Raw genomic sequence first — 21,703 nt, 5'->3', positions numbered from 1 at the left:
CTGGTTTAGCATATCATCAAGAAATAACTATAACTATATTCAGTCTAGCAGCCCATGCCACTGCTCTGCCTATGGAGTAGCCTTTTTTTCATTCCTTTACTTTCTTAATACACTTGCTTTCACTTCACCCTATGGACTCACCTTGGACTGTTTCTTGCGTGAGATCCAAGAACCCTCTCTTGAGGTCTGGATTGGGACCCCTTTCTGGTAACATAAGCATTAATCAGGCTGCACTCTGGCCCACTTCCTTGTTGCTGAAAGTCCTGTAGCACTAGACACTGCCCATGTGCAGATAGGATCTCTGATATTAGGGCCCTCAGACTGTTTAAGAATTGATTTGCAACCCCATTGTTTCTATATATAAGGTCTCTGATGTTAGAATCCTACGGCTTTTGTTTAAGGATCACTTAAGATGTTTTTTAGACCCCAAATTCTAGCAACCAGTTTTAAGACCCTCACAGAGGAATGGGATCAGCCTGAGAATATAGAGATGCTTCCCCTCCCTGTCCTGTGACTTCACCCTGCACTCTTCCACCAATCAACAATCTCCACACTTCAGCCCATTCCAGAACCCTCAAAACCCCTAACCACCAATTCCTTGAGGCGATGGATTTGAGGTTTCCTCCCATCTACTTGTTCAGTGGCCCAACAATTAAACCTTTTTGTCTGCTGCAATCTGCTGTCTCAGTGCATCCACTTGCCATAGGGATCCAGCAACAGACATATTACAGCCATGTGAAAGGAAAATATATCTTGGGTACCCAAAATCACTAAGCTAAAGGGAAAACTCAAGGTGGAAACTGCTTGCGGCAAACCTGCCTCCCATTCTATTCAAAGTTATCTCTCTGCTCACTGAGATAGATGCATATCTGATTGCCTCCTTTGGAAAGGCTCAACAGAAACTCAAAAGAAAGCAACCATTTGTCTCTCACCTATCTGGGACCTGGACACTCCCTCCCACTTCAAGTCTTCCCGCCTTTGTTTCAAGTTGTCCCACCTTTGCAGACCAAACCAATGTACTTTTAACATATATTGATTGATGTCTCACGTCTCCCTAGAATGTATAAAACCAAGCTGTGCCCCGACCACCTTGGGCACATGCCGTCAGCACTTCCTGAGGCTGTGTTAGGGGTGTGAGTCCTCAACCCTGGCAAAATAAACTTTCTAAATTAACTGAGACCTGTCCCAAATTTGGGGGGTTCACAGCTACAACCCTGTCACTCTGCTACTTAGCTATAAATCCCACTTGTCTTGTTGTATTCAGAGTTGACCCCAATCTCTCTCCTCTATTGCAACAGAGTCAACGTCTATTGCAATAGTCTTGAATAAAGTCTTCCTTAGTATTTTAATAAGTGTCAGGCTCTGAGTGGAGGGAACGAATGGCTGAGGGTGAGGAATGAATAATCTTGAAAAGAGGATGAAAGGGCCAGAATTTCAGGCTCTCCACTACAGGGGAGAAGCATGCACTGCACCCCACAGTGCCCCACCAGGCAAGGGCTCCAGGGAGGACTCTGGGTGGCTGAGTAGCTGGAGAATCCTCTGAATCTAGCCCAGAGCAGCTCCCACTCCCACCATCGCAGAGTAGGGGCAGGTCTGCTCTGCCTTCCCAGACCTCTGCATCCTTGAAGAGTAAGAGGCCAGACAGGGGAGTCAAATAATGGCACTGCTGGACACTGAGCCAATTAAGCCAGTTTTCAATTGATCCAGAGGTTAAAGATAGGCATCATGTCCTGCCCCAGAGGGTTGCACAGCAAGTTGATAGCAATTACATAAGTAACTCGGACCTGTCGAGACATCTGTGGCCGAGAGCGCCAAGATGAGCCGACCTGCTGGGAGTGACACTGCAGAACCGGACAGGAAAAGGCAGAGGAGGAGGGGGTCAGCAGGAGGACCCGCCTGGCAGCCCCACTCCTGGGAGGCAACAGCAGCAAGAAGTCACGTGGGACTGCCTCATTCCTCCCCTGCGGATATGTTAATGGAGGTCTCATTTCTGACTTTTTATGTTAATTTAAATGATGTATGTTTACACCCTACTGAGTAAAAAGGACATTGAATTAATGTGCACAGGAAAGAAAACCACAGCCTTCAGCAATCCCTCTTCAAATGCTCCTCTAAGTTCTTTTGGATGAAAGAGTGCTATCCTCTGCTTCCAAGAAATCCTTCTATTATCACTTCTGTATTTAGAATACTTCCCATAGAAGTCATTAAAAAGGTACTTGGTTTCTTAATGAGAACAAAGTACAGTAGGTCAATAATTGCTTTAACACTCCTGCTTAAGAGAAATGAAAGGCCCTTTCCTATGTTCTCCTTCCGACTTTTCCTTCAAGTCATTTTTAAAAGTGTTTTCTAACATCCTGGAGATAGTATTTCCAATGTTCACAGTGATGTGTGCATTTGGCTTTCCCTTGACAAGTCTACGGTGTCAACTACTGGACCTAGAAAAATGGGTTGCTGCATACTCTGGCTGAAATATTCTTCAATGGCTTGAGTTTCAATCAAAAGCATGAGAAAGTCTTCAGGAATGTGAAGTTTTATGTCTCTCCTTTCCCCTACTGTCAGAGGCATCTGAACTAGAGCGGCTCCATCTTGAATAAGGGCTTGGTAAAATAAGGCTGAGACCTACTGGGCTGCATTCTCAGATGGTTAAGCATTCTAAGTCACAGGATGAGATAAGAGGTTGGCACAAGATACAGGTCATAAAGACCTTGCTGATAAAAATAGGTTGCAGTAAAGAAGCCGGCCAAAACCCACCAAAACCAAAATGGCGACGGGAGTGACCTCTGGTCATCCTCACTGCTACACTCCCACCAGCGCCATGACAGTTTACAAATGCCATGGCAACATCAAGAAGTTACTCTATATGGCCTAAAAAGGGGAGGCATGAATGATCCACCCCCTTGTTTAGCGTATCATCAAGAAATAACCATAAAAATGGGCAACCAGCAGCCCTCAGGGCTGTTCTGCATAGGGAGTAGCCATTATTTTATTCCTCCACTCTCTTAATAAACTTGCTTTCACTTTACTCTATGGACTCGCCTTAAATTCTTTCTTGCATGAGATCCAAGAACCCTCTCTTGGGGTCTGAATCAGGACCCCTTTCTGGTAACACTACTACTTCTTATATTTTGGTCTCAAACTCCATTATATGGTGTGAGATCTACTTATCCTTCAAAAGGTCCATCACACAGACCAATTGCAGGTGGGCAGTGACCACAAAAATGACTGCCCTGCTTGTAGTGTTTTGTTTTGTTTTTTGAGATGGTGGTGATTTAGTATTTATTTTTATCGTTTTTCACCAAAAATTTTATTTAGGTAATAAGAATCTCACAGTTGGTAGCTTACTTTTCCCTCCCACTCCTATGGTCCAATGCTGCCATCCTTGTCTATTTCATAGACATATTGTTGTGTTAAGTTTGGCCTTGTTGATGAACAGAGTTGAACTCTGTAAAACACTTGAAGAGATTTATTCTGAGCCAAATATGAGTGACCATGGCCCGTGACACAGCCCTCAGGGGGTCCTAAGAACATGTGCCCAAGGTGGTCGGGGTACAGCTTGGCTTTATATATTTTAGGGAGGCATGAGACATCACTCAAATACATTAGAGAACTACATTGGTTTGGTCCATAAAGGCAGGACAATTCGAAGCTGCGGGCTTCCAGGCTATAAGGTGAATTTAAACACTTTCTAGTTGACAACTGGTTGAGTGTGTCTAAAGACCTGGGGTTAATAGAAAGGAAATGTTCATGTTAAAATAAAACATTGTGGAGACCAAGGTTCTTTTGAAGTCTCATAGCAGCTGCCCTTAGAGACAGTAGATGACGAATGTTTTATTCAGACCTTTAAAAGGTGCTAGACTGTCAGGTAATCTCTTCAGGATAGGGAGGGCCTAGAGAAAAAGATCTAGCTATGTAAACAGAGATTCTTTACAGATGCAATTTTCCCCCCCACAATGAATGGCTTTGCAGGACCATTTCAAAATATGGCCAAGAAACATGTTTTGGGATAAAATATTTTGACTTTCTTCTTTGTCATGTTGTGTTATGCCAGAGTCAGACTGGAAAGTAAGTCACGATCTATAGGGTTAAATAAAACCCATGTGATGAGACTATGATTTATAAGGCATGACTCCCCAGGTCTCTTAGATATTTGGGCAAGACAAGAAAAAATTAGAGCTTAGTCCTCAGCCTGAAATTTTCTCCATACATAGTAAACTGTAACTTATCTTAATGTGTAAACAGACTGTAACCTGCTCTTGTAACAAATAACTGAGTCTCAGCCAACCACAGGCAACCAACTGTTCAAAGCAGGTTCAAATAAGGCAAATGCCCAGCTGTAATCAGCCCAGCTGTTTCTGTCTGTCACTTTTTTTTTCTGTATTCTGCTTTCCTTTTTCTGTCCATAAATGTTATGTTATCTGCCCATGTGGTAGCCCCAGAGTCATTCTGAACCTATTCTTCTTCTGTAGGCTGTCTGATTTGTGAATTGTTCTTTGCACAATTAGACTCTGTTAAATTTAATTTGCCGAAAGGTGTTTTTTTTTTAAGCAATATCCAACCCTACCTGTATATCCGTTCTGCCCATGTACTACTTCATGTTGATATGGACAGGAGACAGGAAAATACTGGGTAGAAGAGGGCGGTTCCCCAGCAAAGGCCCCACCCTCAAGCCTGGAAACCTGTGGCCCTAAATGGGAACAGCCATTCCTGTTTTCACACCCAAACATTGCCTTTTGGCCCGCCACGCCCCCTACCCTGTACCCATATAAACCCCGAACCCCCAGCTCCCGGAGCAGACGAACAGAAGACCCGCTGAACAGGGCAGCAGAGAATGAGAGAAAAGAAGGAGCGTCTGAACATGGAGAGGAGTTCAGCTGGGGACGGTTGGAGAGGAGGTGAGCCGCTGGACAGCCAAACTCCAGGGGAAGATCCTCTTCCCACTCCATCACCTTTCCACGTTCCCATCCATCCTGCTGAGAACCACCTCCAACACTCAGTAAAACCCCTGCATTCACCATCCTTCAAGTCCATGTGTGACCTGATTCTTCCTGGACACCAGGCAAGAACCCAGGCACCAACAGGGCACTGAGCTGGTTAACATTTAAGCCATCTGTAGGTAGCAGAGCTAAAGGAGCACTGCAACTGAGCTAAATGTATCTGAGTACAAACGTATAAATGCAACATGCCCAATAGGGCTTTGGCAGCCACAGGCACCCATCTTAGATGCTACCGTGGGGCTGCAGCCCAAAAGCACTCGCCCCCGCTCCTGCACCTGACTGTTTACTTGCTCCCCGTCCTATTAAGGGTGGCGAACAGACAAGCCATGCCCCTGCAGCACATCCTGCAAGGGGGGTGAGAGAAGTCTCCTGTTTCGATGTAGTTGTTAATGCAATGAAAAAGCTCTACTTTCTATGTTCTGGAGCAAACAAAGACCAATTAGATGTTATTCTGCTAATGCACAGGATAGAATCCTTCCATACACAGGCTGAATGCTGGAAAAGGACTGGCCAAGCCTGCTGCCTGAGCCCTGGCAGCAGGTGACCCCTCACACAGATCTCTGCTTGTGGCTGTCTTTGACAGTGTGGGGATTGGAGAGAACAGAGCGCCCTACTGGGAAACACAGCGTGGCTTCAAAGAGTGGTAGAGGAAAGGAAGGGTGGGCAGTGGTGTCCCTGCCTTCTGGAGATGCCTGCTGTTCTGGATAAAATGTGTAAAAATGTCAGAGCTGTTTGAAACAGAGCAACTCCATCTTGAAAAGGAGCTGGGTAAAATAAGGCTGGAACCTACTGGGCTGGATTCCCAGACAGTTAAGGCGCTCTAAGTCACAGAATGAGATAAGAGGTCGGCACAAGATACAGGTCATAAAAACTTTGTTGATCAAAAACAAGTTGTGGTAAAGACACTGGTTAAAACCCACCAAAACCAAGATGGAGACGAGAGTGACCTCTGGTCATTTTCACCGCTATGCTCCCACCAGCACCACTGCAGTTTACAAATGCCATGGTAATGACAGCAAATTACCCTATATGGTGTAAAAAGGGGAGGCATGAATAATCCACCCCTTGTTTAGCATATCATCAAGAAATAACCATAAAAATGGGCAACCAGCAGCCTTCGGGGCTGCTCTGGCTATGGAGTAGCCATTCTTTTATTCCTTTACTTTCCTAATAAACGTGCTTTCACTTTACTCTACGGACTTGTCCTGAATTCTTTCTTGCACAAGATCCAAGAACTCTCTCTTGGGGTCTGGATCAGGACCCCTTTCCGGTAACAAAATAACCCCAGAATCACAAAGCCAAGGGAAAAGTCACGCTGGGAACTACATCAGGCAAACCTGCTTCCTATTTTATTCCTAAATAAGATAGCTTAAAAGACAAAAGAGGTGCATATCTCCCCTGCAATTTGCCCACAAGGAAATTCCCTGCAGGCCTCAAGATCTTTTCCGTCAGAGGGTTCTGTTGAATTTCACCCTGACAATGTAAACGGATAGCTTATCTTCACAGGTGCAGGACAGAAAGTCATCCCTCTGCTCACCTGAGACAAATTCATATCTGATTGTTTCCTCTGCCTCTATTGTTTTTGTAAAAATGCAGACACACTGAGCCAGACTAAATTGTGTATTCAGTGGAAGGTTAATCAAGGACTCAAAAGAATTCAACCTTCTGTCTCTTATCTACCTGTGACCTGGAACCCCCCGCTTCGAGTTGTCCCACCTTACTGGACAGAACCAATGTCTGTCTTACACATAGTGATAGATGTCTCACGTCTCCATCTCCCTAAAATGTATAAAAGTAAGCTGCACCCCGTCCACCTTGGGTACATGTCATCAGGACCTCCTGAGCCTGTGTCACAGGTGTGTCCTGAACCTTCGCAAAATAAACTTTCTAAAATGGTTGAAATCTGTCTCAGATATTTTGGGTTCAAGAATGCCATTAGATCCTTTCTACAGAGAGGCTTTGTTTTTTTTTTTTATGGAGTCTGCAGCCTCCGCCAAGAGTTCAAGCGATTCTCCTGCCATAGCCTCCTGAGTAGCTGGGATTACAGGCGTCCGCCACCATGCCACCATGCCCGGCTAAGTTTTGTATTTTTAGTAGAGACAGGGTTTCACTATGTTGGCCAGGCTGGTCTTAAACTCCTGACCTCAGGTTATCCACCCACCTAGGCCTCCCACCCGCCTCGGCCTCCCAAAGTGCTGGGATTACAGGCATGAGCCACTACGCCCGGCCAAGGCTCATTTTAAAATATGAATTTAATATCATAAGCATCCTTCCCAGGCCTTATAATACTTGATTTTCGAATTATAAAAAAGAACTAACAATTCACTGACTCTCGCAATATACTTGGCGGTCAGGTCACTGGCATCTCACATACTATTCAAAGCTTAATCTTTTTTTTTTGAGATGGAGTTTTACTCTGTTACCAAGGCTGGCGTGCAGTGGTGCGATCTCGCCTCACTGCAACCTCTGCCCCCCAGGTTCAAGCAATTCTCCTGCCTCAGCCTCCTGAATAGCTGGGACTACAGGCACGTGGCACCACGCCCAGATAATTTTTGTATTTTAAGTAAAGATGGAGTTTCACCATGTTGGCCAGACTGGTCTCATACTCCTGACCTCAAGTGATCTGCCCGCCTCAGCCTCCCAAAGTGCTGGGATTACAGACGTGAGCCACCGTCCCCGGCCTCACAGTCTAATCTTCACAGGAGCTCTGAGGGGTAGGTGATGTATCCTGAGCCTTCTCATAGGAACAGAAGGTTCCCTGCCTTTCATTAGGTCAAACAACTGACAAGTACTGGGACCAAAGTTTGATCCAGCTCTACTTGGTTTCAAAAGCCTAACTTGTTCTCTTACTCAAACAGGAAAATCTCTCACAAAGAAGTCATCTCCTAGCCACTGTGATATTTGCCACATGGGATTTGAGATTTCAGATGAAGTCCCTATGCCCCGTGCTGGCTGGGGAGTGTGGACTATGAGCATGAGAGAGAGCTGCCTTCTCTGGGAACAAGAACTGTTGGCTCATCCCATAGGGTCTGGTCTGGGGTCTGGCACAGCGCTTTCCTCATAGTGATGTTCAAGAAATGTTTGCTAAATGAATAAATGAGAAGATGGATACAGACTTATTAAAATGCAAAAAAAAAAACAAAAACAAAAAACAAAACAAAACCCTGGAAAATATTCATACTGGGAAATAATAAAATCCAAAACCCCTCAACTGACTGACTGGACCCCACCTGGCAAAGAGGACCCCAGAGCAACCTTCAAACTGAGTTTCCAGCCATGACAGGATGGGAGGTTGAACACACCTCTTTATACCTCCCCCTCCCTAACTGCCATTAAGCTTTCTACCCTAGGTGCCAAACAGAAACCAGCCCTTTCAATAGGCTCCACCTACTATTTCAGCCAACTGTCTGACTGCTGCCCCTCCCTTTGATGGTTTCAACATGAACAACTGACCAGCATTCCTTCTTTTTTTTTTTTTTGAAACAAGATTTTGCTCTGCTGCCCAGGCTGGAGTGCAGTGATGTGTCATGGCTCACTGTAGCCTTGACCTCCCAGGCTCATGTAATGGGCCCATCTCAGCCTCCTGAGTAGCTGCCACTATAGATGCATACCACCACACCTGGCTAATTTTTGTATTTTTTTGTAGAAATGGGGTTTCACCATGTTGCCCAGGCTGGTCTCAAACTCCCGAGCTCAAGCCATTCTGCCTGCCTTGACCTCCCAAAGTGCTTGGATTATAGGTGTGTGCCATCATGCCTGGCCCAGGATTCCTTCTTGATAAGAGACCACTGACCATGGAATAGTTCAACGGAGGATGTGCAGTGAGGGGTTTCATGTCCTCTATTTCACCTTTTGATGTCAGAGAGCTGAAAATTCCACCCTCAGATCATGCTAACACTGCCATTTTTGTACATGCAACTCATGAAGAGGCATAAAGCTGAATTGTTCATGCACACATTTCTCCTTTGGTAAATATTTATGACTCCTCCTATAGCTTATTAAATACATACATTTAGCCACCCCACTCAGCATAAATTCTTGTTACCTTTGACCTTCTCTCAAAGTATTTCTGGCTTCTGACCAGAGGCTACACTTCCCAGGCTGTCAGAATGGCCTGGGAAGGCTGCAACCATTTATGAGAAATAAAGTTCTTCTTTCCAATCAACCCAAATGCCTATCAATGATAGACTGGATAAAGAAAATGTGGTACATATACACCATGGAATATAATACAAAGGAACCAGATCATGTCCTTTGGAGTGACATGTATGAAGCCAGAAGCCGTTATCCTCAGCAAACTAAAACTGGAACAGAAAACCAAATACCACATGTTCTCACTTGTAAGTGGGAGCTGAACAATGAGAATACATGGACACAGGGAGAGGAACAACACACACTGGGGCCTGTTGGTGGAGTCTGGGGGACAATGCATCCTGGGCTTAATACCTAGGTGATGGGTTGCTAGGTGCAGCAAACCACCATGGCACATGTTTACCTCTGTAACAAACCTGCACATGTACCCTGGAACTTAAAAATTTTAAAAAAGCTCCCCTTTCCAAATGTATGAACCCGATCATTCTTCAGTTGACAATACCCTGGGACATATTAAGTTGTGATATGAGCTTTTGATATCATAGTGTGAATAGGTATATGGGAGATTAGCAAGTGAGTCATTGAGTAGAGCCAGAACACAGTGAGAAAAGCTCTTGGAAGAAAGACGTGGAAAGCCCATTTGGGAGCTGGAATGCCAGAACCAAAAGGAGTGTCTGCTGATGTCCTCAAACAGACCTGATGAGATATTCAACACTCACTGAGGATTTGTGCAGAGAAGGAGAGAAGGTGGTGCTGAAAGAGATGAGACAGTCAAGAGCGGAAGTCTGGGACAGCATCCTGAACATGTGGCTTAATTCAGAGCCTCATTCACATTTTCCTCTTATCTGCTATCTGACATACACAGGATAGTGATTAAAGAATGTCAACCATGAATATTGTTGATATGGCTTGGCTGTGTCCCCTCCCAAATCTCATCTTGAATTGTAGCTCCCATAATTCCCACGTGTTGTGGGAAGGACCCAGTGGGAGGTAATTAAATCATGGGGGAAGTTTCCCCCAACCTGCTCTCATGGTAGTGAATAAGTCTCATGAGATCTGATGGTTTTATAAAGGGAAATCTTTTATGCTTGGTTCTCATTCTTTTTTCTGGCCTACCACCACGTTAGACGTGCCTTTCCCCTTCCACCATGATTGTGAGGCCTCTCCAGCCACATGCAACTGTGAGCCCATTAAACCTCTTTCTCTTGTAAATTTCCTAGTCTCAGTTATATCTTTATCAGCAATGTGACAAAAGACTACTACAACTGTGGAACCAAGTTTGCTGGTGAACTGGGTTATAATGCTAGACAAAAGATACCTGGAATATAATTATGAATGATGTTCCAAATGAAATCTGGTTAGCACTCCCCTTTACCCAGGCAGCCACTCGCAACTGAAATTCATGCAAAAAAAAATGTTTATTTACTCTATTCCAGGCAGGGTACTTATGCCCTGGAGACACAATAATGAACAATGTTGGCATGTCTCTTACCCTCCTGGAGTTTCCGGTCTGGGACTTACTAAACCACCAGAGAGAACAGAGAAAATGATGGATGGCAGAAGTCAGAATAATAAGAGCAACACAGAATCTAAGGCCAGGATCTAGGTAGAATCACCAATCATGTTAAGGCAGATGGAGAAAAATTGAGAAAAAGCAACCCATGATTCAGCACAGAGAAAACACTGACTATACTTTACATAACTGGCCAGAAAACAACAACAACAAAAAAACAAGATGCTTAATTCTTGCTCCAGAGCCTCTGGGCCTGTATCCACCAGAGAGGCCCCTTTTTATCAGATACTGCACTAGAAAGTAGACAGAGTCACCCCCTGCTCTGCTCAGTTCATACTGCTTCTCAGGAACAAACCAAGGAAGCAAATACAAATGATTTTTTTAAATGCATACCAACTTTTCTACCCAATAAATACTTTTTTATCCAACAGCCATTATAAAAACTGATCATATATTAGGCCTCCCTAAAATCCTTTTTTATTTTTAAATTTTTTTGAGACGGAGTCTCTCTCTGTCACCCAGGCTGGGTGCAATGGTGTGACCTTGACTCACTGCAACCTCCGCCTCCCAAGTTCAAGCCAATTCTCCTGCCTCAGCCTCCTGAGTAGCTGGGATTACAGGTGCACACCACCATGCCTGCCTAATTTTTGTATTTTTAGTAGAGACAGGGTTTCACCTTGTTGGCTATGCTGGTCTCGGACTCCTGACCTCAAGTGATCCTCCCACCTCAGCCTCCCAAAGTGCTGGGATTACAGGCGTAAGCCACCACACCTGGCCCTAAAATCTTTTTTTTTTTTCTAAAGAGAGCCTCACTCTGTCACCCAGGCTGAAGTGCAGTGGTGAAATCATACCTCACTGCAGCCTCAAAGTCTTGGGCTCAAGTGATCCTCCCATCTCAGACTCCCAAGAAGCTGGGACTACAGGTGTGCGCCCTATTTATCATTTTTCTTGTCATTTATTTATCATGTATCACTTATTTATCATTTCATTTTTTGTAGAGTTGGGGTCTTGCTATATTGTCCAGGCTCATCTTGAACTCTTGGGCTCAAGAGATCCTCCTGCCTTGGCCTCCAAAAGTGTTGGGATTACAGGCATGAGCCACTGTGCCCAAATCAAAATTTTAATTCTTAAAAAAACAAACAAACAAAAAAAACCACAATTCGGTGAAATAAATTAAGAATAGAAGCTTATATTTAAAAAATTGATTTGGTTTTTAAAAATACTTCTAAATAACTCTTAGACCAAAGAGGAAAGAAAGTCTGGAATTAAACACTATCTAGAAAACAGTGACAACTCAAACACTACATATAAAAACTTATGAGCTGTAGCAAGATCCATACTTGAGGGAAATACATAATATTAAATGCTTTTGCTATTAAGCAAGACAAAAAGAAAATAAATGAACTGAGATTTCAACTCAAAAGGGCAGAAAGAGAGCAAGCAGACCAAGGAGAAAAGAGGAACAGACAAAATGAATTAATAAAATTCAAATATAAGGAAAGAGGGGAACCGAGAATAAGGAGTTAGTTCGTCGAAAGGATTTTAAAATTAATCTCATTTTAAAGGAGAGAAAAACACTGATAAATGCTATTAGATCTGAGCAAAGAACTCTTACCAAAAACATATAGAAGCTTTTAAATTTTTAAATGATGAGTAGAAGAATGGTCAAGAAAACTTTCTGCGACAGAGTAGAAAACTGGCATAGACTAATCACTGAAAATCCTGGAAAGGCTGTCGAGAATGACTATCCAGAAAGACATTAGACCCAGAGGGTATTATAGGTAAATTCTGTCAATTTTTTGAGGACTAGAAAAATGTCATGCAATTCTCAGCAAACTATTGCAAGGACAAAAAACCAAACACCACATGTTCTCACTCATAGGTGGGAATTGAACAATGAGAACACTTGGACACAGGAAGGGGAACATCACACACCAGGGCCTGCTGTGGGGTGGAGGGAGTGGGGAGGGATAGCATTAGGAGATATACCTAATGTGAATGATGAGTTAATGGGTGCAGCACACCAACATGGCACATGTATACATATGTAGCAAACCTGCACATTGTGCACATGTACCCTAGAACTTAGAGTATAATAAAAAAAAAAAAGAATAAAAAAAAGAAAAACGCCATGCAATCTGAAGTAGTCTAGAACAGAAAATAAAATTTAAAAGTTTATCATTTTCTCCAAGCTTATATAATGCTCTTAGAAAAGCACTCAAGCCAGCACACACGCCTTGAAAGCATGATGCTAACAGAAAGAAGCCACTCACAAAAGACCACCTATTCCATTTCTGTAAAACATCCAGAACAGGCAAATCCAAAGAGACAGAAAATAGATTTGTGGTTGCCTGGGGCTGGGAGAGTTAGAGGGAAATGAGAATGGCGTTTCTTTTAAGGGTGCAGCACATATACTAAAACTGCAGTGATGGTTGCAGAACTCTGTGAACGTACTAAAAACCATTTAATTATACACTTTAAATGTTTAAAATATATGACGTGAATTATATCTCACCAAGGCTGTCTTTTTCATTTAAAAAGCACATGCACACACAAAAGAAAAAGTACACGAGTTCCACTAATCCACTGAGGGTTAAAATTTTCAAGTAAGCCAGGTGCACTGGCTCATGCCTGTAATTCCAGCACTTTGGGAGGCCGACACAGGTGGATCACTTGAGGTCGCGACGAGACCAGCCTGGCCAACATGGCGAAACCCCGTCTCTACTAAAAATACAAAAATTAGCTAGACCTTGTGGCACATGCCTGTAATGCCACTACTCGCGAGGCTGAGGCAAGAGAATTTCTTGAGCCCGAGAGGCAGAGTTTGCGGTGAGCCGAGATCGCGCGACTGCACTCCATCCTGGGCGACAGAGAAAGACTGTCTCAAAAAAAAAAAAAAAATCTTTAAATACTAACAACTAATAAACCAGGACCAAGAAGTGTTTACTCTAGAAATACAAATATGGTCATATTTTAGACAATCTTTTTTTTTTTTTTGAGAGGGAGTTTCGCTCTTTGTTGCCCAGGCTGGAGTGCGATGGCACGATCTCGGCTCACCACAACTTCTGCGTCCCGGGTTCAAGTGATTTCTCCTGCCTCAGCCTCCCGAGTAGCTGGGATTACAGGTACCTGCCACCACGACTGGCTAATTTTGTATTTTTAGTAGAGATGGGGTTTCTCCATGTTGGTCAGGCTGGTCTCGAACTTCCAACCTCAGGTGATCTGCCTGCCTCAGCCTCCCAAAGTGCTGGGATTACAAGCGTGAGCCACCGCGCCCGGTTAGACAATCGATTAATATAATTCAAAAGATTAATAAATCAAGAGAAAAATATATAAATACCTTAATAAATGCCAAAAAAGCAATGAAAACATCCAATATGTGTCGCCAAGAAAAACTCAGAGTAAATTAGACAGAAAATGTCCCTAATCTGATGTCTATTTAAAACAGCCAATATGAGTCATAATGGTGAAACATTCAAGGTATTTCATTAAGTCAGGAATGAGATAAAGATTTGTTCTCACCATTAATACTCAACATTGCTCTGCAGACTGCAGTTAAGGTAAAAAATATACATATAATGATAGGAAATAAAGAGGCAAATTACTTACTTATTAAAAAAAATCACATAATGTGATTATCCACTGGTAAAAACAAAAATAAGAAAATCAAGCACTTTGGGAGGCCAAGGTGGGTGGATCATTTGATGTCAGGAGTTCAACACCAGCCATGGTGAAACCCCATCTCTACTAAAAGTACAAAAATTAGCCAGGTGTGGTGGCATATGCCCATAATCCCACTACTCGGGAGACTAAGGCAGGAGAATTGCTTGAACCCGGTAGGTGGGGGCTGCAGTGAGCCAAGATCGCGCCACTGCACTCCAGCCTGGGAGACAGAGCGAGACTCTGCCTCAAAAAAAAAAAAAAAAAAAAAAGAAAATAGGCAGCTGTTATTTCTAATTAAAACTTTTCACTGAAGTAGAGCAAACACATAGAGAAGTACACAAGTTTCAGAAGTTCAGCTGTCAACTTTAACAAATGGAATCCATCCGTTTAAACCATCACCCAAGTCAAGAAATAGAAGATAACCAGTGTCCTAGAAATCCCTTCTATGCACTCTCCCAGTCATTACCCCCACTGGCTACCTGACTTCCAATAACAGCTAAATTTTTCTTGGCTTTATAATTTATTTATTTTTAAACTATTTATTAAGGTATGATTCATACACAAAAATCCATACATAGTTAATGTATACAACTTGATGAGTTTGGAATTGAAATTTATATAAAAAGAATCAAATAGTAATGCATCCTTTTGCGCCTGTATTCTCTGATTCAACATTATGTTTGCAAGATATACATGCCTTTTGTTTTCAAGAAAAAATGACATTCACAGTCTCAGATAATTAGAAAGGATATTGCATTGATAAAACAAGTACTGAGTGTTATGGCAAAAGATCGATAAAGAACCAAAAAGAACCCTTGAAAATTAAAAATGTAAAAGCAGAAACAGAAAATTTAGAAAAACAAAGTTAAGAAAATACCCCAGAAATACAGACAAAAGATAAAAGATGAAAAATCAGAGATTAAAGAAAAACAAAGAAACAGTCCACAAGGATGGTTCAACACCCAAACAAAAACAAAAAGAGTTCCAAAAATAGAGACCACACACACACACACACACACATACACACGAAGTAAGGATATCAACAATGCACACACATTTCAAATGGAAAGTTCTATTGAGTGCCAGTGCAATGAATAAAAAGAAATATACTCCAAAACACAGCATCACCAAATTTCAGAGCACCCAGAATAAAAGAATTTCAAAAGAGAAAGAGACAAGTTACATTGAAAGAACTAGGAGTCAGAATGTCTCTGAACTCTCCAATAGCCATGTTGGAAGTAAGAAGACAATGGAATATTGTCTTCAAATTCTAAGCCAAGGTCATTCAAAGTGGAAGGCAGAATCCAGACATTTTTACACATACAAGCACTAAAAATAGTTATTTGAAGATATGCACCAATAAAATGAGAGAATAAGCTAAAAAAGATAAAGGCATGAGATCCGGGACACAGAAGAGAAGTGAAAGGAATCCCAGGATCACTGCTAGAGGGCAGCCAGTCCTGATGGATGAGGCCATAGCACCCTGGGGAGCTCTCTTCATGAAAATAAAGCAGACAGAATATCTAAGGTTGCTGAGAGGACTGAGAGGGAATTCAGACAAGTGGTAGAAAGCATGTAGCTGAATTAGTTAACAGTATATAGAAAACAAATTAAGGAAACAAACAGAAAGGCAATGGTTAAATACAGGAAAAACAAAAAGCTGTGCAGGGAAGGGAAAAATAACCAAAGTATACCATGTGGATCAGATGCAAATAGTTATAATAATATAAGTATTAATAAGTGGTGTAAGAGTGGGCACACATTTCTTCCATTCAGCTATTCTGGGGTTGCATCTTTTATTATGAACTGGTGTAGGTCAAGTATCCCTTAACCAAAACACTTGAGACCCATGTTGCAAATCTCAGATTTTTTTTTTGATTTTAGATTATTTGCATTATACTTACCAACTGAGCATTCTATGTCAGAAAATGCAAAATACTTCCCAATAAGCATTATCCTTTGAGCATTATGTGGACACTCAAAAAGTTGGATTTTGGGGCATTTTGAATTCCAGATTTTCCAATTTAGGATGCTCAACCTGTAACAGTACGCAGTGTTTTCTTGAGCTCTGTGATTCATTCTAGCAAATCATCAAACCTGAAGGGAGGTGGTGGGAAACCCCAAATTTGTAGCCATGTTGGACAAAAATATGGATAGCCTGGAGACCTGATATTTATGACTAGTGCCTAAAGTGGGAGCAGTCTTTGGGACTGAGCCCTTAAACCTGTGGATTCGAATGCTTACTCTGGGTAATCAGTGTCATAATTGAATTGAATTGTAGGAAACCCAGTGTTGAGAATCAGAGAACTGAAGATTTGGCTGGTGTGGCGGGAAAAGCCCTCAGCAAAGGAATGAGTAGTGTGTGAATTTGCGGGAGAGGTGGATGCGGGTGAGTGAATAACAGTTAATACCTTGTCTCCCATAGTCAAAGTCAAGAAGTAATGCCCACATCTCAAAATGCATGATGTAGGACTAAAGTGTACTATTTAGAGATATAGAGGTAAACAAAAGGCATATTTAAAAGAATAGAGTCGGCCGCAGTGGTTCATGCCTGTAATCCCAGCACTCTGGGAGGCAGAGGCAGACAGATCACTTGAGGTCAGGAGTTCGAGACCAGCCTGGCCAATGTGGTGAAACCCTGTCTCTACTAAAAATACAAAAATTAGCTGAGCATGGTGGCACATGCCTGTAATCCCAGCTACTCTGGAGGTCGAAGCAGAAGAATCACTTGAACCCAGGAGGCAGAGGTTGCAGTGAGCCGAGATCATGCCATTGCACTCCAGCCTGGGCGACTAGAGCAAAACTCCACCTCAAAATAAATAAGTAAATAAATAAAGTGGTACCTCTAAAGAGTAGGTAGAGCCTTGTAGAATATATATTTGACTTTTAAACATGTACATACAAAATGTTTATATGAAAATATAAATTTTACATTATTTGTAGGAGTAAAAAATAATGTGAAATATTAAAGCTACTCATGAAATATTAACATTGGTTATGGTTATCGTTGGGTGTTATGATTATCAGTGATTATCTAATGATCTTTTGTATTTTTGATTTTTACAGTGAATATTAAATTTATAATGGATACAGTATAAATTTTATAATGAATACATAATAAAAAAAGTATTTTTACACTATAATTTTTAAAGTGATTGGTCTCCTAGGCTCTGGTCTTGTTCTTCTCTACTGGGCTGGAAGACAACATCTGGATTGGAAGCAGAGCAGAAAATCATTCTTATTTCTTCCCCTCTTGAATGGCTGTAGACAAATTATGGAGCTCTAATTTCATGGCTGCCAGCCTCTGCTCCTCCCTCCTCATATAATTTAAGATTTAAGCCTCTGCAATTTCAAGCTTCTTCAAGAAAATATTCCCGTTTCTCAGAAACGACTACAAGATTTAGGGGATTTTTTTCCCCCTGAATAAAGTTACTTTTAAGAAAATACTATAAGGCAGTGGCTCACACTTGTAATACCAGCACTTTGGGAGGCCAAGGTAGGCGGATCACTTAGGACTCTCTCCTGTCATCACAGCTAAAGCTGAGTGTGCAGAGGCATTAAGGAGCACTCCAGGGGAAAGCCCAGCTTCCCGCCCAAGGTCCTGTGGGAAGCAAAGAAGGTCCAGGGAGCTGGGAGAGGTAAGAGATGACATGTTTCTGGAAGCAGAAAGGGACAGTCTCCAGTCTCCAGGAATTATAAGAATTTAATCGATTTCAGCAATCAGCCTATTTTACAGTCTCCTACCTTGCAGCCTGTTTCTTCCCAAGCCCTGTGCAAAATGTGGTTACCTAGTTGTCTGGAACCAGCTCCTGACAGACCCCAGCAACTTAGAGATGAACCTGAATGAACCTTCCTCATGACCATGTTGAAGCCTCCACCCTGGCCGGGCGCAGTGGCTCACACGTGTAATCCCAGCACTTTGGGAGGCCAAGGTGGGTGAATCACCTGAGGTCAGGAGTTCGAGACCAGCCTGGCCAACATGGCAAAACCCCATCTACACTTAAAAAAAAAAAACAAACAAAAATACAAAAATTAGCCGGGCGTGGTGGTGAGCACCTGTAATCCCAGCTGCTCGAGAGGCTGAGGCAGGAGAATCGCTTGAACCTGGGAGGTGGAGGTTGCAGTGAGCTGAGATTGTGCCACTGCACTCCAGCCTGGGTGACGGAGTGAGAATCTGTCTCAAAAAAAAAAAAAAAAAGAAAGAAAGAAAAAAAAAGGTGGCTCCACCCTGGGAGGTGCTATAGCTCCATTACCATCCCATGTGACTGGGTGATGGCATGATGGCTCTCCGCATCTGCACCACTGAGACCCCTCCTCTACATGTGCTGATGCACCCTCTCCCCTCTCCATTCCCCCATAAAACCCTCCTGTCACTTTCCCTCCAGAGACACCGCTTTGGAGAATATTCCCAGTGCTGTCCTTACTTGTGATGAGTAATAAAACACCTACTGATCAAAGCCTGCGTTCTCCTGGAGAGTCATTTGTTAATCCTCAGGCAAATGAACTCCAGTTTTTTTCAGGTAACATTTCGTTTGTTTGTTTGTTTGTTTTCCTTGAGACAGAGTCTCGCTGGCCCAGGCTAGAGTGCAGTGACACCATCTCGCCTCACTGCAGCCTCCACCTCCCGGATTCAAGTAATTCTCTTGCCTCAGCCTCCTGAGTAGCTGGGATTACAGGCGCTGCCCAGTCAATTTTTGTATTTTTAGTAAAGACAGAGTTTCACCATGTTGGCCAGGTTGGTCTGGAACTCCTAACCTCAAGTGATCTACCTGCCTCGGCCTCCCAGAGTGCTGGGATTACAGGCGTGAGCCACTGCACCCGGCCCTCAGTTAACATTTTGGCCCAGAGAGGGAGAGATGTGTTGGATAGTGAGTTTGCTACGGAAGACACCCCTGTTTTCCACGGTGGGTGTGTCATGAAGCTGCCTGCAGGTGTCTATATCCTCCTAAGCCCACCCTCATGAACCTGATGGTTTAGTGTGGCCACATGGCAGGAGGCCACGTACATTAGCCCCTCTGCTTGGTTCTCATAGGAAGGAAAGGGGAAGTGGCGAGGGAAGGCAGAAGAGTTGTTGATGGCTTTTCCCTGGGCAGGAATGAAGCCTGCAGCTGGGGCTGGGATGGGTAGGGGAATGTGGCCAAGGCTCAGGTGTTTGCAGCCAGCATGAGCCATAGAGATCTGGGTCAGATGGGCCCTGAGGAAGCTGAGAGGTCAGATCCCAAGTTAGGCCCATGGCAGATGTCTTCTGGGAATGCCAGCAGGGCAAGGAGTGGCCAGCCAGGCCAGGGACACTGCCCAGAGGGCAAGAGGATGTCTTAGTCCATTTTGTGTTGCTATAAAGGAACAATTCAGGCCGAGCGGGGTGCCTCACACCTGTAATTCCAGCACTTTGGGAGGCCAAGGCGGGCAGATCACCCGAGGTCAAAAGTTCGAGACCAGCCTGGCCAACATGGTGAAACCCCGTCTCTACTGAAAATACAAAACAATTAGCGAGGGGTGGTGGCAGGCGCCTGTAGTCCCAGCCACTCGGGAAGCTGAGGCAGAAGAATGACTTCAACGCAGGAGGTGGAGGTTGCAGTGAGCCAAGATCATGCCACTGCACTCCAGCCTGGGCAACAAGAGCGAAACTCTATCTCAAAAAAAAAAAAAGGAACACCTCAGACTAGGTAATTTATGAAGAATAGAGGTTTATCTGGCTCATGGTTTTGCAAGCTGTACAAGAAGCATGGCATCAGTATCTGCTCCTGGTGAGGGCCTGAGGCAGCTTCCACTCATGGCAGAAGGTGGAGGATGGGGCAGGCATCACGTGGAGAAATAAGGGGAGCAGGAGAGAGAGAAGGAAAGTGCCATGCTCTTTTAAACAACCAGCTCTAAGATGAACTAATAGAGCAAGAACTCACTTATTACCAGGAGGAGGGCACCAAGCCATTCATGAGGGGTCTGTCCCCATGACCCAAACACCTCCCTCCAGGCCCACCTCCAACACTGCGGATCAAATTTCAGCATGAGATTCGGAAGCGACAAATATCCTAACTCTACAGAGAAACAGTGCGTGTAAAGACCGTCATGCTTCCCCTTGATCACAAAATAAACCCTCCCTCTCCCCACGTACCCAGAAGCCATCCTAGAGAAGGAATGGGGCAGGAGGCAAAGAACTGAGAAGTTGCAGAGACCCAGTATTCAACTAGAATAACCTGAATTTGAATTGGCGACGAAGCTGACCTCGAAAATGAAGAGCTGTAACCTGCCCTGAGTCATTCTCAGACCCTGTCCATGCAACTGAAACTTCAGAGTTGCTTATAGCATGGGAAGGGCTCATGCCACCAGCTGAAACCTCCTGCAGCCGCCACAGAAACCACAGTCGGAAATTCAATGTTCATAAAAGACACTCAAGAAACATTTCTCTCCTCTTTCCTTTAAGTTGAAGTTCTTAAGAGCCTGGGAGTCCATTGAACTTCATGCACGGAAGTTAAACTCCAAAATACTGACTGGGGCATCCTACCAAGTGTATAAAGGACCTCCCATGCAGGCCAGCTCTCCCGGGTCTCACACACTGCCTGTTTTCGGAGGGCTTTGAAGGGGCCACTGCTTTATCAAGCGTGACTGGTAGTTATGTTATTCACAACAGTTAAGCAAGCTTGTTGCAACCTCTCTGCTGCTGTAAGGATGTACTACCAGAATGACTTAATGACACAGGAGCCTACACTTCCGGAAGAAAATGAAGTCAATTACCCCTGACTCTCTGCGTGCCTGGTAGCAGAAGCTATTTTTAGAGTCATGTTGGCAGCCAAAAAAGGAAAGACTGTGACCCAACACTCCAAAAAGATATTGCAAAGTACCAACCCAATTTTCAGACTTTGGGAAAGTCTGCTTAAAACTTCTGCAGGCCGGTGGCTCACGCCTGTAATCCCAGCACTTTGGGAGGCCGAGGCAGGCAGATCATGAGGTCAGGAGATTGAGACCATCCTGGCTAACACGGTGAAACCCCATCTCTACTAAAAAAATACAAAAAAATTAGCCGGGCATGGTGGCGGGCGCCCGTAGTCCCAGCTACTCAGGAGGCTGAGGCAGGAGAATGGCGTAAACCCGGCAGGCAGAGCTTGCAGTGAGCTGAGATCGGGCCATTGCACTCCAGCCTGGGTGACAGAGTGAGACTCCATCTCAAAACAAAACAAAACAAAAAAAACACTTCTGCAGGCTTGAATGGCTATTATGAAAAAGTCAAAAAAATAACTTGCTGATGAGGTTGGGGAGAAATAGGAACACTTTTACATTGTTGGTGGGACTGTAAATCAGTTCAACCATTGTGGAAGACAGTGTGGCGATTCCTCCAGGATCTAGAACCAGAAATACCATTTGACCCAGCAATCCCATTACTGGGCATATACCCAAAGGATTATACATCATTCTACTATAAAGACACACACACACACATACGTTT

At 43.6% G+C, this 21,703-nt stretch overlaps 1 protein-coding gene across 4 annotated transcripts in view, besides 3 other annotated features; it reads right to left on the bottom strand.

Annotated features, from left to right (window-relative positions):
* GALNT17 (polypeptide N-acetylgalactosaminyltransferase 17) overlaps positions 1-21,703 on the bottom strand; it is a 581,456-nt gene that overhangs the window by 249,960 nt on the left and 309,793 nt on the right. The window lies entirely within an intron of this gene.
* Positions 5,422-6,280: an enhancer, noted in NCBI's record as "OCT4-NANOG-H3K27ac-H3K4me1 hESC enhancer chr7:70922345-70923203 (GRCh37/hg19 assembly coordinates)". NCBI's record gives its function as "activates a minimal SCP1, AML or CMV promoter by ChIP-STARR-seq in naive H9 embryonic stem cells {active_cell/tissue: H9 hESC(naive)}" and the evidence as "EXISTENCE:reporter gene assay evidence [ECO:0000049][PMID:30033119]".
* Positions 6,281-7,139: an enhancer, noted in NCBI's record as "OCT4-NANOG-H3K27ac hESC enhancer chr7:70921486-70922344 (GRCh37/hg19 assembly coordinates)". NCBI's record gives its function as "activates a minimal SCP1, AML or CMV promoter by ChIP-STARR-seq in naive and primed H9 embryonic stem cells {active_cell/tissue: H9 hESC(naive and primed)}" and the evidence as "EXISTENCE:reporter gene assay evidence [ECO:0000049][PMID:30033119]".
* Positions 10,045-10,546: an enhancer, noted in NCBI's record as "NANOG hESC enhancer chr7:70918079-70918580 (GRCh37/hg19 assembly coordinates)". NCBI's record gives its function as "activates a minimal SCP1, AML or CMV promoter by ChIP-STARR-seq in primed H9 embryonic stem cells {active_cell/tissue: H9 hESC(primed)}" and the evidence as "EXISTENCE:reporter gene assay evidence [ECO:0000049][PMID:30033119]".

This window comes from Homo sapiens, chromosome 7 (genome assembly GCF_000001405.40).
Source record: "Homo sapiens chromosome 7, GRCh38.p14 Primary Assembly".
NCBI classification, from domain to species: domain Eukaryota; kingdom Metazoa; phylum Chordata; class Mammalia; order Primates; family Hominidae; genus Homo; species Homo sapiens.
This window is presented reverse-complemented; position numbering and strand designations above follow the sequence as displayed.